Raw genomic sequence first — 13,455 nt, 5'->3', positions numbered from 1 at the left:
GAGGCACAGATTTCACCTCTTTTTGTACATCGCTAATAATCAGCTCCTAGAGCAGGGCCTGACATGTGGTAAGAATTCAATACATTTGTTAGCTAAATGAATGACGATGGCAAAGCAGGGCTTTATGTTATATAAAACCTCTGGACTTCTGCACTAGCCTGTGGACTGGAGAGAAGGGAGGTAGACGGTTAACTTTCTCAAGAGCCTGGCAGGATGAGGACTTAGAGTCAGACTTAGGTTGATTTGTGGAATATATAATAATGACATTTCAGAGTTGGAGTGTGCAATGAGCTAAGATTGTGCCACTGCACTCCAGCCTGTGTGACAGAATGAGACCCTGTCTCTAAAAATAAAAATTTTAAAATGGCTTTCCTTGCGCACCTGAGAGCCTTTTTTTTTTTTTGAGATGGAGTTTTGCTCTGTTGCCCAGGCTGGAGTGTAGTGGCACAGTCTCGGCTCACTGCAACCTCCGCCTCGCGGGTTCAAGTGATTCTCCTGCCTCAGCCTCCTGAATAGCTGGGATTACAGGTGCACGCCACCAAACCAGGATAATTTTTTTGTATTTTTAGTAGGGACGGGGTTTCACCATGTTGGTGAGGCTGGTCTTGAACTCCTGACCTCATGATCTACCTGCATCGGCCTCCCAAAGTGCTGGGATTACAGGTGTGAACCACCACATCCGGCCTGAGCCTTTTGTTTTAAACTGACTATTCCCTTGCATCCTTCATAATATGTTCTATAACCCAGTCTTGCAGACAAATGGCAGGCTTATTTAACACTTAAAAAGGATTTTACGCACTAATTTATGAGCAGCAAAGAATCCAGTGACATGTGAAGAGTAAGACACTGGCTGGGAGCAGTGGCTCACACCTGTAGTCCCAATACTTTGGGAAGCCAAGGAGGGAGGATCACTGGAAGCCAAGAGTTCGAGACCAGGCTGGGTAACATAGTGAGACCCTGTCTCTACAAAAAGAAAAAGAAAAAATTAGCTGAGAACCATAGCCCCCAGCTGTAGTCCCAGCTACTCAGGAGTCTGAGGCAGGAGGCTCGCTTGAGCCCAAGAGTTCGAGGTTATAGTGAGCTATGATTACACCACTGCACTACAGCCTGGGTGACAAAGTGAGACCTTGTCTCTAAAAAATTTTTTTTAAATAAACAATTAAAGAATAAGACATCCTCTCCACAGGCAGCCTTGGATGTGAATCAAGTCTGGGGTAGACCTAATCAGGTCCTGCACTTCTCTTACATGGACTTTGAGGCTACGGGTTGCAGTGGAGAGGGCTAGATGGTGATCCCAGGAAACTTGGGATCTCTTCTGCAAAACAGAGGGTTGAATATGATGGTCTCAAAGACAGGTTTGGGATTCAGCCTGTACACACTTGGGCTGGCCGTCTCCAGTGTCTCCAGACTGTGTGGTTTCTGATTGGTCAGGTATGCACGGTACAGTGGTTAAATATTTTGCATATCAGCCCTACTCTCAGGTCTCTTCCATGTGAGGACAAATCTCTTGCAGATCTTCAGAAGACAGAGGTAATCTGGCTTTCCAGAAACAGAAGAATCACAGGAATTCATCCAAAGCGTTGATTTATCCTGATTATAAACACTCCTGTGATGACTCCAGGAGCAATCGCTATGTGCAATATAAAACTGACTTATCACTGGCTCTGTGCCCCAATTTTCCATTTTCTAACCCTTCTAAACCTTTTCTCCCTTTATTGTAAAGTACTATTTTTTTCTGGCTTCAAAACACGTGGATACCTTCCCCATCAATGTGGAAAAGAAGAATAGGAGGCTTGAACCTGGAGTTTCTGAGGGTCTCTCTTGGTGCCTCAGTGTTCCTCCTTGGGAGAAAGCCAAACACAAAGAGAAGATGCGGAGCTGAGACAAACCCAGGCAGCCAAGGAGCAGCGTTTCCTCACCTCTCCTTACTTCTGCCAGTGTTTCCTCCACCTGGAAAGTCCTGTCTGCACTCTTTCCCCTGGTTAGCGTCTAACAAACCCTCAACACCCCAAACTATGGTTATTCTGCTTCTATAATACTTTCACAAAATGAACTTACCATTTTCAAATATAGATATTTATAAGTCTATTTCCCATCAGAACTCCTGAAGGGCAGAAAGTGGGTTTGGTTCCCTGTGTGCCCCACTGCCCAGCACAATACTGGGCTCTCTAAGTCAGATGTGCTAGAAATGAACATTTGTTCAGCCTCCCTGGTTGAGACCAACAATCCTATTAGAACACAGTTTGGGCCAGGTGCAGTGGCTCACACCTGTAATCCCAGCACTTTAGGAGGCCAAGGCGGACAGATCACTTGAGGTCAGGAGTTCGAAACCACCTTGGCCAACATGGTGAAACGCTGTCTTTACTAAAAATACAAAACACTTTCAACTGTTAAATTGGTTATATTGTAAATCTAATCACCGTACTAAAATGAAGACATTTGTTCTGGAGGGAAAGGCAACACAGAAAAGGGTTTTAAGTGTTCACTCTTGGGGAGGAAGAAGGAATGCACAGGCCTCTTTGGGCAGAGGCTGCCTGAGGGTCAGCAGTCTGTGGGCTTCCCTGCGCTTTTGCTTTCTTCAGGAATTGACAGAAGGAGACCTTGGGGGGAAATTTTAAACTCATTTGATTGTGAGATATAACCCTCATACACAAAAATGCAGTTTAACAAGTTGTTATAAAGTTAACCCCCATATCAAGAAGTATAATATTGCTAACCCTCCCTCAAAGCTTCTCCCATGCTCCTGGAGATAACCATTATCGTGGCTTTTACGAGAATCACATTTTTGCTTCTGAAAACAATAATTTAGCACCAAAGTTTGCATCTAGATAGAATCTGGCTTTGAGATTTATATAAATGGGAGGAATGAATTGTTCACCTGTGTCTGGCTTCTTTTGCTCAACCTTGCGTTTGTGAGAACCATCCACCTTGCATGTAATTGCAATTTAGATTCATTTCAGGACCGTATTTTTTTATTTGTCCATGTACTGTTGATGGACATTTAAATTATTTCTAGCTTGGGGATTTACTAGTAAGCCTGCTGGGAACACTCTTGTGCATGTATGCTGATGCACATGAACATTTGCTCATCCTCCCTGGTTGAGACCAAACAGTTCTATTAGAACACAGTTTGGGCTGGATGCAGTGGCTCACGCCTGTAATCCCAGCACTTTGGGAGGCCAAGACGGGCAGATCAGTTGAGGTCAGGAGTTTGAGACCACCCTGGCCAACATGGTGAAACCCCGTTTCTACTAAAACTACAAAAATTAGCCAGGCGTGGTGGTGCGTGCCTGTAATCCCAGCTACTCAGGAGGCTGAGACTGGAGAATCGCTTGAACTCGGGAGGCAGAGGTTGCAGTGAGCCGAGATTGTGCCTCTGCACTCCAGCCTGGACAACAAAGCAAGACTCTGTCTCAGAAAAAAAAAAAGAGAAAGGAAAAAAAAAAGAAAGAACACAGTTTAAATCAAGGGTAGTTTAATGGCAAAATTGGCAAGATTTGTCACTTTTTCATTCATCCAATAAACACAAACCAAACTTCTATTACAAGAATAGCAAATATGTGGCACAGGTTGCTGCTCGTTTTTGTGCTCAGAGCAGACATTACTAGTTTATAAGGGTGTTCTTTCCTGTTGAATCTGGATGTGGCTTCAGAATCCTTTGCAATATAGCCCTCAAGGCAATCACTGCTAGGGATCAGAGATGGGTCATGTGATGGCTAATTTTGGGGTCAATAAAATGATGTCAAATTGGCCAGGCCACAGTACCCAGAAATGTGGTCAAACATTATTCTAGAAGTTTCTGTGAAGATGTTTTGTTTTTGTTTTTGTTTTTGTTTTTGTTTTTGTTTTTGAGACGGAGTCTTGCTCTGTCGCCCAGGCTGGAGTGCAGTGGCACGATCTCGGCTCACTGCAACCTCTACCTCCCGGGTTCACGCCATCCTCCTGCCTCAGCCTCTCAAGTAGCTGGGACTACAGGTGCCCACCACCATGCCTGGCTAATTTTTTGTATTTTTAGTAGAGATGGGGTTTCACCGTGTTAGCCAGGATGGTCTCAATCTCCTGACCTCATGATCTACCTGCCTTGGCCTCCCAAAGTGTTGGGATTACAGGCATGAGTCACTGTGCCCAGCCCTGTGAAGGTATTTTTTGAGGAGATACTAACGCTTAAATTAGCAGACTTTGAGTAAAGCAGATGACCTTCCATAATGTGAGTGGACTTCATCCAATCAGCTTTAAAAAAAAAATAAATAAATAAAGGCCGACCTCCCCCGAGGAAGAAAGAATTCTGCCAGCAGACTGCCTTTGAACTCAAACTGCACCTTTTCCCTAGGTCTCCAGCCAGCAGTCTGCAGTGCAAATTTTGGAGTTAATGGCCTCCACAATTATGTGACCCAATTGCTTAAAATCTCTCTTCTCACATGTATATATACACATATAAACATGTACACAACCCTGCCCCCTGCGACACACACACACACACACACACACACACACATAAGCATCTTGTTGGTTCTGTTTCTTTGAAGAACCCTGACTAGTACAGGTGGCATACTATTTGCAAAAGATTGTTTGGTGGCAAAGGAACAGAAAGTCTCTTAAGCTAATTTAAGTAAAGGGGATACTTTTAAAATAAACACATTTTTTGTTTGTTTTTTTTTAGACCAAGATCTCACACTGTGGCCAACCCTGGAGTGCAGTGGCACAGTCATAGCCGCTGCAGCCTCGAACTCCTGGCCTCAAGCAGTCCTCCAACCCCAGCATCCCAAAGTGCTGGGATTATAGGCATGAGCCACCTTGCCTGGCAAGAAACACTTTTAGTATTCAATATTAACCTCAATCCCAATTCATTACAACATCATTCGTATCTGAAATATTTTTCAAAATAAAAATCCTCTATATGTCCATACAGGTTTTCCCCAGCTTCTGAGCGTCATCATTTGTTCTCAGCCAGTGAGAGTTAGAGCAAAGGGATGATCCTGTTCTCAGCCAGTGAGCATTAAGGCACAGGTCTGCCACTGCCTCCAGCCAATAAGCTGAGCTCCACCATGGAAATTGAATGTGTCCCACATGGCTTACGGAACCATTAAGAAACAGGACTGCCACTGCCTCCAGCCAATGAGCTGATACTACAGCATGGGAATTGAATGTGTCCCATGTGGTTTGTGTTTACTCTGCTCTGGCCTCCCCTTCTTTTCTGGCCTCCCTTTCTTCCCTGGCCTCCCTTTGTGCCATCACTTTGGTGTCCCGGCAAACAGTTTTGACCCAGACTAACTGACTAAGGGATACGGACGATAATACTGGACCTATTGCAAAGAAGTAAAAGGGATAGTGTTATGCTGGATGTTACTGATAGCATGCAGTTCTGTGTTTTCTTTTGTTTTGTTTTGTTTTGTTTTGTTTTGAGACGGAGTCTCGCTTTGTCACCCAGGCTGGATTTCAGTGGCGCGATCTCGGCTCACAATAGCATGCAGTTTTTTTGAGAAGTTCTGGGTCCTCCAAGGCATCAGAGGAAGAAGCAGAGGGTCTAACTCAGGAAGCAAATAGGGGTAGGTGGGAGTCCTTTGATATCCACAGCACTTCATACAGGTCAGTGCAGCTCAGAAAGACTGACCAACAATTGTATGAGCAAGAGCTGGAAATAATTATGGGAGGAAAATGGAAGAGTCATTGCCGGAATACAAGTCCTGGGTCACATCTGGTGACTGTGCCGGGTGGGCTCCTGTGGGCGGCTGCTGGAGACAGTGGGTGTGACGGCCAGGCTCTGCTCTCTGTGACTGCGTTGTCTGTCTTGCTTCTCGTGCTTCTCTACCTCATTTTCCTTTTGGCAGGTCAGCCTTCTCGGCAGGGCTCTTGGTTCCTGCCACCCCATAACATGGGCTTTGCTTTGGCTCAGGGTTACCACAGCAGGCATTGTTGCTGTCCTGCGCAGATTCTCTGGTCCATCTTGGTGTTCAGCGGCAATAGTGGCAGACCCTTTCCTACAGGCTGGAGAATCCCCGCCCAAGCATCCGCATAGCTCTGCTTCTTTGTGAGCTTTCTCCTTGGCCAGGGGAACGTGCTGGGCTGCAGCCACAACCAGTGGGGGATGGGCGTCACTGGATAAATGCCCCAGTGTTTCTTTCTTTCTTTTTTTTTTTTTTTGAGACAGAGTCTCGCTCTGTTGCCCAGGCTGGAGTGCAGTGACACAATCTCGGCTCACTGCAAGCTCCGCCTCCCGGGCTCACGCCATTCTCCTGCCTCAGCCTCCTGAGTAGCTGGGACTACAGGCGCCCGCCACCGCGCCCGGCTAATTTTTTGTATTTTTAGTAGAGACGGGGTTTCACTGTGTTAGCCAGGATGGTCTCTATCTCCTGACCTCGTGATCCGCCCGCCTCGGCCTCCCAAAGTGCTGGGATTACAGGCGTGAGTCACTGCGCCCGGCCAATGCCCCAGTCTTTCTGTTCCCTGGTGGGAAAATTCTGAGGTGTGCCCCACATGCCTTCTCAGAGGGTCTCAAGAGGGATTAAGCCATCATTTCCCAAAGCTGTACCTGCTTGTTAATGCACCCTTTACTGGTTTTGTCTTTTTCTCTTTCTACTTTCTGCTTCCTGGGACCACCTCCCAAACAGATTTCCTATACCCACATCCTTGTGTCAAGGTTGGTTTTTTTTTTGTTTGTTTTTGTTTTTGTTTTTTTTTTGCGATGGAGTCTCGCTCTGTTGCCCAGAGTGAGTGCAGTGGCACTCACTGGAGTTCAGTGGCATGATCTCGGCTCACTGCAACCTCCGCCTCCCGAGTTCAAGGGATTCTCCAGCCTCAGCCTCCTGAGTAGCTGGGATTACAGGCGCACACCACCACACCCGGCTAATTTTTGTAGTTTTAGTAGAAACGAGGTTTCACCATGTTGGCCAGGGTGGTCTCGAACTCCTGACCTCAACTGATCTGCCCGTCTTGGCCTCCCAAAGTGCTGGGATTACAGGCGTGAGCCACTGCATCCAGCCCAAACTGTGTTCTAATAGAACTGTTTGGTCTCAACCAGGGAGGGTGAGCAAATGTTCATGTGCATCAGCATACATGCACAAGAGTGTTCCCAGCAGGCTTATTAGTAACATCCCCAAGCTAGAAATATTTTTAATGTCCATCAACAGTACATGGACAAATAAAAAAAATACTGTCCTGCAATGAATCTAAATTGCAATTACATGCAAGGTGGATGGTTCTCACAAACGCAAGGTTGAGCAAAAGAAGCCAGACATGGAAGAACAATGCATTCCTCCCATTTATATAAATCTCAAAGCCAGATTCTATCTAGATGCAAACTTTGGTGCTAAATTATTGTTTTCAGAAGCAGAAATGTGATTCTCGTAAAAGCCACGATAATGGTTATCTCCAGGAGCATGGCAGAAGCTTTGAGGGAGGGTTAGCCATATTACACTTCTTGACATGGGGGTTAACTTTATAACAACTTGTTAAACTGCATTTTTGTGTATGAGGGTTATATCTCACAATCAAATGAGTTTAAAATTTCCCCCCAAGGTCTCCTTCTGTCAATTCCTGAAGAAAGCAAAAGCGCAGGGAAGCCCACAGACTGCTGACCCTCAGGCAGCCTCTGCCCAAAGAGGCCTGTGCATTCCTTCTTCCTCCCCAAGAGTGAACACTTAAAACCCTTTTCTGTGTTGCCTTTCCCTCCAGAACAAATGTCTTCATTTTAGTATGGTGATTAGATTTACAATACAACCAATTTAACAGTTGAAAGCCTAAAATTCATCCTCAGAAGAACTTGCAAGGCAGCTGCAAGAAAGATGAATGTCACTCATGGGATGAAAAGCCTAGAAGGTTTTCGGGGAAAGGTTCAGTAGTGTGTACGTGCAAAGCCTATTCTTAGCAGAAGGCCCTGTTAGGGGATAGAGTGTCCTTCTGTCTCATTATCAGCTGGAAGTGCCTGGGATAAGTGGACTTTGCAAGTCTCCCCATTGTTGTTCAAAATTCCTGGTATAAAGAGCAGGCTCTCACTCTCACGATCTGCCTTCCAAGATCCTAGGCTTAAAATTCAGAATTCAACTTCAAGGGAGTTAGAGAAAAGGCGGAGTGATTTTAAGGGCAGGTGCTGGAGGTTTACTTTTGCCTCTTTTCATAGCTTTTAGTACTAAGAAATATGTGGTTCAATATGCTTTCTTCCCTCTGGAAAACAGATTCTACTCCCCTCCACCTCATCTCTGCCTGAAGAATAACAAATTTCATATGGAAACCTGAAAACCCGAGGAGAAATGTGCAATGCTACAGACACCTCATGTTGGACTGGCTGTCACAGACCCTGGTTTGGGTCAGGCTGTTTAAACTTCTTTGGAACAAACGTTTATCTACAGCAGGGTCATTTTATAGATCCATTAAATCTACATTTTCTCTTGGGCTCCTTTCCCCAGCTCCCCTCAACCCTGCTCTAGTCATACAGTCTAAAAACCCCCTTAAGCTCCCGAAATAAATCTCTATAAACTGCCAAGTATTCAATCAGGCTTTTACTGTATCTCTTTGCAATTAGAATAAATTTACTGCTTGGAGAGATGGGGGGAAATATGCAAGGTACTCCTTGGATAAATATACCGCAGTGAGAAAAGTAGAGACTCTGTAAAAATTATCTCTGTGAATTCAACAAGAATCAAGGTCACGGGAACCGCTACATACCAGGGATCGTTAATTAATGGGCCTGCAGCTGGTGGTACCACTTGGATGCTCAGCTCCAGCTGCCTGCTCCATATTTCTCTTGTTTGCAGGACTATTCTTGGACCAGATCCCATCTCTTTTTTTCCTCCAAGTACAAAAAGTACATAAGTCTACTCTGGAAGAATGCCAACCTTTCAGAGAACTAAGGAAAGTGTTGTTTCTTCGCTATTTTTATCTCCTTTTTAAAGAAAGGACACTCTATCACCTCTGGAGCTGGATTACTTGTAATCAGCGTCCAAGCTGTGGTCTGAGGTCACTGTTCTGGCACCGTGTCTACAGGGAGATGTCTTGAATATGGAGAGCAGAGAGGGACACTTGTAACTTCTCCTCAAACTAAAACAGAAAACAGCAGAAAAGATATACCTATTTTCATTGACAACACGGTTTGCATTTTAGGCTGGGTTGGAGGCAAGGTAAAATGGCAACCAGAATGCACCCAGTGTCTCCGAGCTGCAGGGAGAGAGGGAAGGAAATAGGAGAGAAAGGAGAAAAGAGTCTGACAGAGGAGGCAGAAAGTGTTTCCAGGGTCAGGGTGGTTTATGCCATTTAAACCTGCTGAAGACCATGCATGTAAACCACTCAGCACACTTAGCTGGGACACAGGTAGCTATTGTTAATTATAACAAAATTCCAGAGTGGAGGTACAAAAGAAGTGTTCAACATGAGCCCATCCCTGCACTGCCACGAGACTGTATTTAGGCAGCGCATCATTCTGGTTAAGCACAGACTTCAGAGTCAGGAAGATCTGAGTTTGAGTCTCACACAACCACTAAGTAGCGATGACACTGGCAGCTTAATGAGCCATCTGCAACTTCAACTTCCTCATCTGTAAAATAGGGCTAGGAAGTGTATCTGCCTCCAGGCTATTGAGAGGATAAAAGAGACACTGCATGTAAGACCTTTGGCACAGTGTGGGCACATTGGTAGTCTCCATAAATATTCATTATTATAATGGGTCTATTATAACTGCTGTGTGGATACGGCAGCAAGAGAAGAATCTGGGAGTTTGCCTCTCTGAGCAGGTGAAGGTGACTTCAGAAGAGCTGTTTTCTGAAGCTGTGAAAATGGTCTCACTTGTCTCTATTGCACCCAGCCTTGTTTTTCTTCTCATTTGGAAACTTTCTTTCCACTGGTGTTACATAGTGGAGGGACTGGCCGTTCTTCCACACAGTGGCAGACATGCAGATCTCGCCCAGAAATCACAGGGAGAATGCCTGACTCTGCTTCTTTTTTTTTTTTTTTTGAGATAGAGTCTCACTCTGTCGCCCATGCCAGAGTGCAGTGGCACAATCTCAGCTCACTGCAACCTCCAAATCCCAGGTTCAAGAGATTCCCCTGCCTCAACCTCCTGAGTAGCTGGGTCTACAGGTGCATGCCACCACGCCCGGCTAATTTTTTGTATTTTCAGTGGAGATGGGGTTTCACCGTGTTAGCCAGGATGGTCTTGATCTCCTGACCTCATGATCCGCCCACTTCGGCCTCCCAAAGTGCTGGGATTACAGGCGTGAGCCACCATGCCCGGCCTGACTCTGCTTCTTCAAGGAATTCTTCAGGTAGTCATTAGCCACGAACTCCAGACCCAGGGCCCGAGGATGGCTGTCCCACTCTACTCCTAAAACAAGGGGGTCATGGTCCACTGGGGCGGGTTTCTTTATGAAGGAGACCCAGCTTCACTGAGCCCTTTTTTAAGGAAGGAAGAATGTTCTCAAAAATTGGAAATGTTCTTCTTGACTACTTCCAAACTGTAAAATGATATTTGGGCCTTTTAAAAGACTTGGGAAATTTTCTGAAATTAAGGAATATGGATTTAAAGGAAGGCTTGAGGGATTAGATTTGTCTTCCTCTTTGAAGCATTTGAAACAACTTTAATCTGCTTTGAGAGTGCTATCCAATTTGGCATGGCATTCTGGTAAAGTATTTTTGCCTTCTTCATGGAACTGATCCTTTTGTGCCCCGTTTTAAACCCATTTGGAGAAATATTTACAGTACAGAGAAAAATTAAGCTTGAATTTTAAACACAGGACTATTCAGAGTGAAGAAATGCCTTCTAAAAGGCTTTAAAGACATTATTAAAGTTTTGTTTGACATATAAAAAATCAAACAAACAAACACAAATCTAGTTATATGCAGCTACAATGATATGACTGTGAATTCTTGGGTTTTGGGCCTTCTATCCTATCATAAATCCACTATTATGATAAAAATGTTATTCTCAAATTACAGCATTACTTTGGGAGACAGATGCTACAATTATTATTTTACTGACAAAGGAATTAGGACTCAGGGAGTTTGAGAAAAAAAAATGCCTAAGGAAGATGTAATACAGCAGGAAAAACGGGACTCTGGGTTTTGATCCCAATACCTTTTCCATATTGAGGTAGGAGGTGGGACTCAACTCCAGAGGCAGGGCTTGGACACTGGACCAATTTGGGCACCAGCTGAAACAGGGACTAGGCAAAAGCAGCTTTCTTTTTCTTTTTTTTTTTGAGATGGAATTTTGCTCTGGAGTGCAATGGCGTGATCTTGGCTCACTGCAATCTCTGCCTCCCGGGTTCAAGCGATTCTCCTGCCTCAGCCTCCCAAGCAGCTGGGATTACAGGCATGTGCCACCACGCCCAGCTAATTTTTTGTATTTTCAGTAGAGATGGGGTTTTTCCATGTTGGTCAGGCTGGTCTCAAACTCCTGACCTCAGGTGATCTGCCCACCTCGGCCTCCCAGAGTACTGGGGGATCACAGGCATGAGCCACGGCACCTGGTCCTTTTTTTTTTTTTTTTTTTTTTAGACAAGAGTCTTACTGTCACCTAGGCTGGAGTCCAGTGGCGTGATCTCAGCTCCCTGCAACTTCCGCTTCCCAGATTCAAGCGATTCTCCTGCCTCAGCCTCCCAAGTAGCTGGAACTACAGGCATGCACCACCACGCTTGGCTAACTTTTGTATTTTTAGTAGAGATGAGGTTTCACTGTGTTGGCCAGGCTGGTCTTGAATTCCTGACCTCAGGTGATCCGCCCATCTCAGCCTCCCAAAGTTACAGGCATGAGCCACCATACCCGGCCAGAAGCAGCTTTCTATAAGACACACTGGCCAGTGTGCCATGTCAGTTTCCCATTGCCATGCTAACCTCCAGGTGTTACTGCCCCTTTCCATGGCAATGATGCAGGACCCAAAAGTTACCACCCTTTTCCTAGCAATTGCTGTATAAACCATCCCTTAATCTACATGTAATTAGAAGTAGGTATAAATATGACTGCAAAACTGCCCTGAGCTGCTAACTCCCAGCACACTGCCTGTGGGGTAGCCCTGCTCTGCAGGAGCAGTCACAGAGCTGTAACACTGCCAGAGTTGTAACACTGCTGCTTCAATAAGGCTGTTTCCTTCTACTCCTGTCCCCCCATTGGCTCGCCATTGAATTCTTTCCTCCTGGTGGAAGCCAAGAATCTTTGTGGGTTAAGCCCCCATGTTGGGGCTCACCTGCCCTGCATCAAATATCTTCCTTTTTTTTTTTTTTGAGTCAGACTGTTGCTCTGTCACCCAAGCTGGAGTGCAGTGGCACGATCTGGGCTCATTGCAACCTCCACCTCCCAGGTCCAAGCAATTCTCCTCCCTCAGCCTCCTGAGTAGCTGGGACTACAGGCATGTGCCACCATGCCAGGCTAACCCCTATTCTCCATCAATTGAATTCTCCAGCTTGATCCATACTCATTGTTATGACCTTGAGACACTATGGGAAGAAAGACTGAATTAAATTTGGTAGAATTGCTGTTATTATATTTTATTTTTAAGATAGAGTATTGCTTTATCACCCAGGCTGGAGCGCAGTGGTGCAATTATGGCTCACTACAGCCTCAACCTCTGAGGCTCAAGTGATCCTCCCACCTCAGTCTCCTGAGTAGCTGGAACTACAGGCACAGGTCACCATGCCTGGCTAATTTTTTGTATTTTTCCCAGCGAAAGTTTTCACTATGTTGCCCAGGCTGGTCTTGAACTCCTGGGCTCAAATGATCTACATGCTTTGGCCTCCCAAAGTGCTGGGATTATAGGTGTAAGCTGCAGTGCCCATCTTGCTTTACGTGTTAATGTTCCATATATTCATTTATCCAACAAACATGGGCAGAAGCATTAGATAGTTCAGAGAGCTCATTCCCTAGTCATTCTGAATCAGCAGGGTTGTTTAATTGAGCTTTTCCCTCAGTTCAGTTCAGTACCCAAAACCAAAGCTGAGTCCTCCCTCCTCATCCCGGCAGAAGCTCTAGCTCATGATGAAACATGCTTCAGGCTGTTCTGAATTAGCTTGTGGATAGAATTATCCTCAGTGAGGTGACCTGCTGGCCCTGTAAAAGAGAGGAGGAGCGATCTGTTCAGGAAGACCTTTTAAAAATTGTCTTTTGGCAGTGTGGCTCAGATGGTAGAGAAATAGACTGAAGTCAGGGATCTTGGGTTCTAAGCCTTTATTACTACATTGCTGGATGACTCTGGGCTTCCGTTTCTTCACTGTAAAATAAAGAGTTCAACTAGGGGATTTTGTGGCATGGAGAGCAGTGCCCTCTACTAACTGGTGCATGGGATAAAGGATGCTAATAAAATCAAACTAAGGTAAGGCTCAATAATCCTAAAGGCATATGATTCTTTACGGAGATTTAAAAAAATCCTAAGGATGCTAAGGGCTCTTCTCTTGGACACCAGTCCTAGTTTTGATTTTTTTTCCTCTAAGTCAGACCTTCCTTGTACTCTGGGATTCTGGTAAAATCCTCTCCCTC

General features: G+C 45.2%; 1 annotated feature.

The window, feature by feature from the left end:
• Nucleotides 1,338–1,538: a silencer, noted in NCBI's record as "peak1243 fragment used in MPRA reporter construct". NCBI's record gives its function as "represses an SCP1 promoter by STARR-seq MPRAs in K562 erythroleukemia cells {active_cell/tissue: K562}" and the evidence as "EXISTENCE:reporter gene assay evidence [ECO:0000049][PMID:32103011]".

Source organism: Homo sapiens, chromosome 11 (assembly GCF_000001405.40).
Source record: "Homo sapiens chromosome 11, GRCh38.p14 Primary Assembly".
Lineage (NCBI taxonomy): Eukaryota > Metazoa > Chordata > Mammalia > Primates > Hominidae > Homo > Homo sapiens.
The sequence above is the reverse complement of the archived record's forward strand: the minus strand, read 5'-3'. Positions and strand labels throughout refer to the sequence as shown.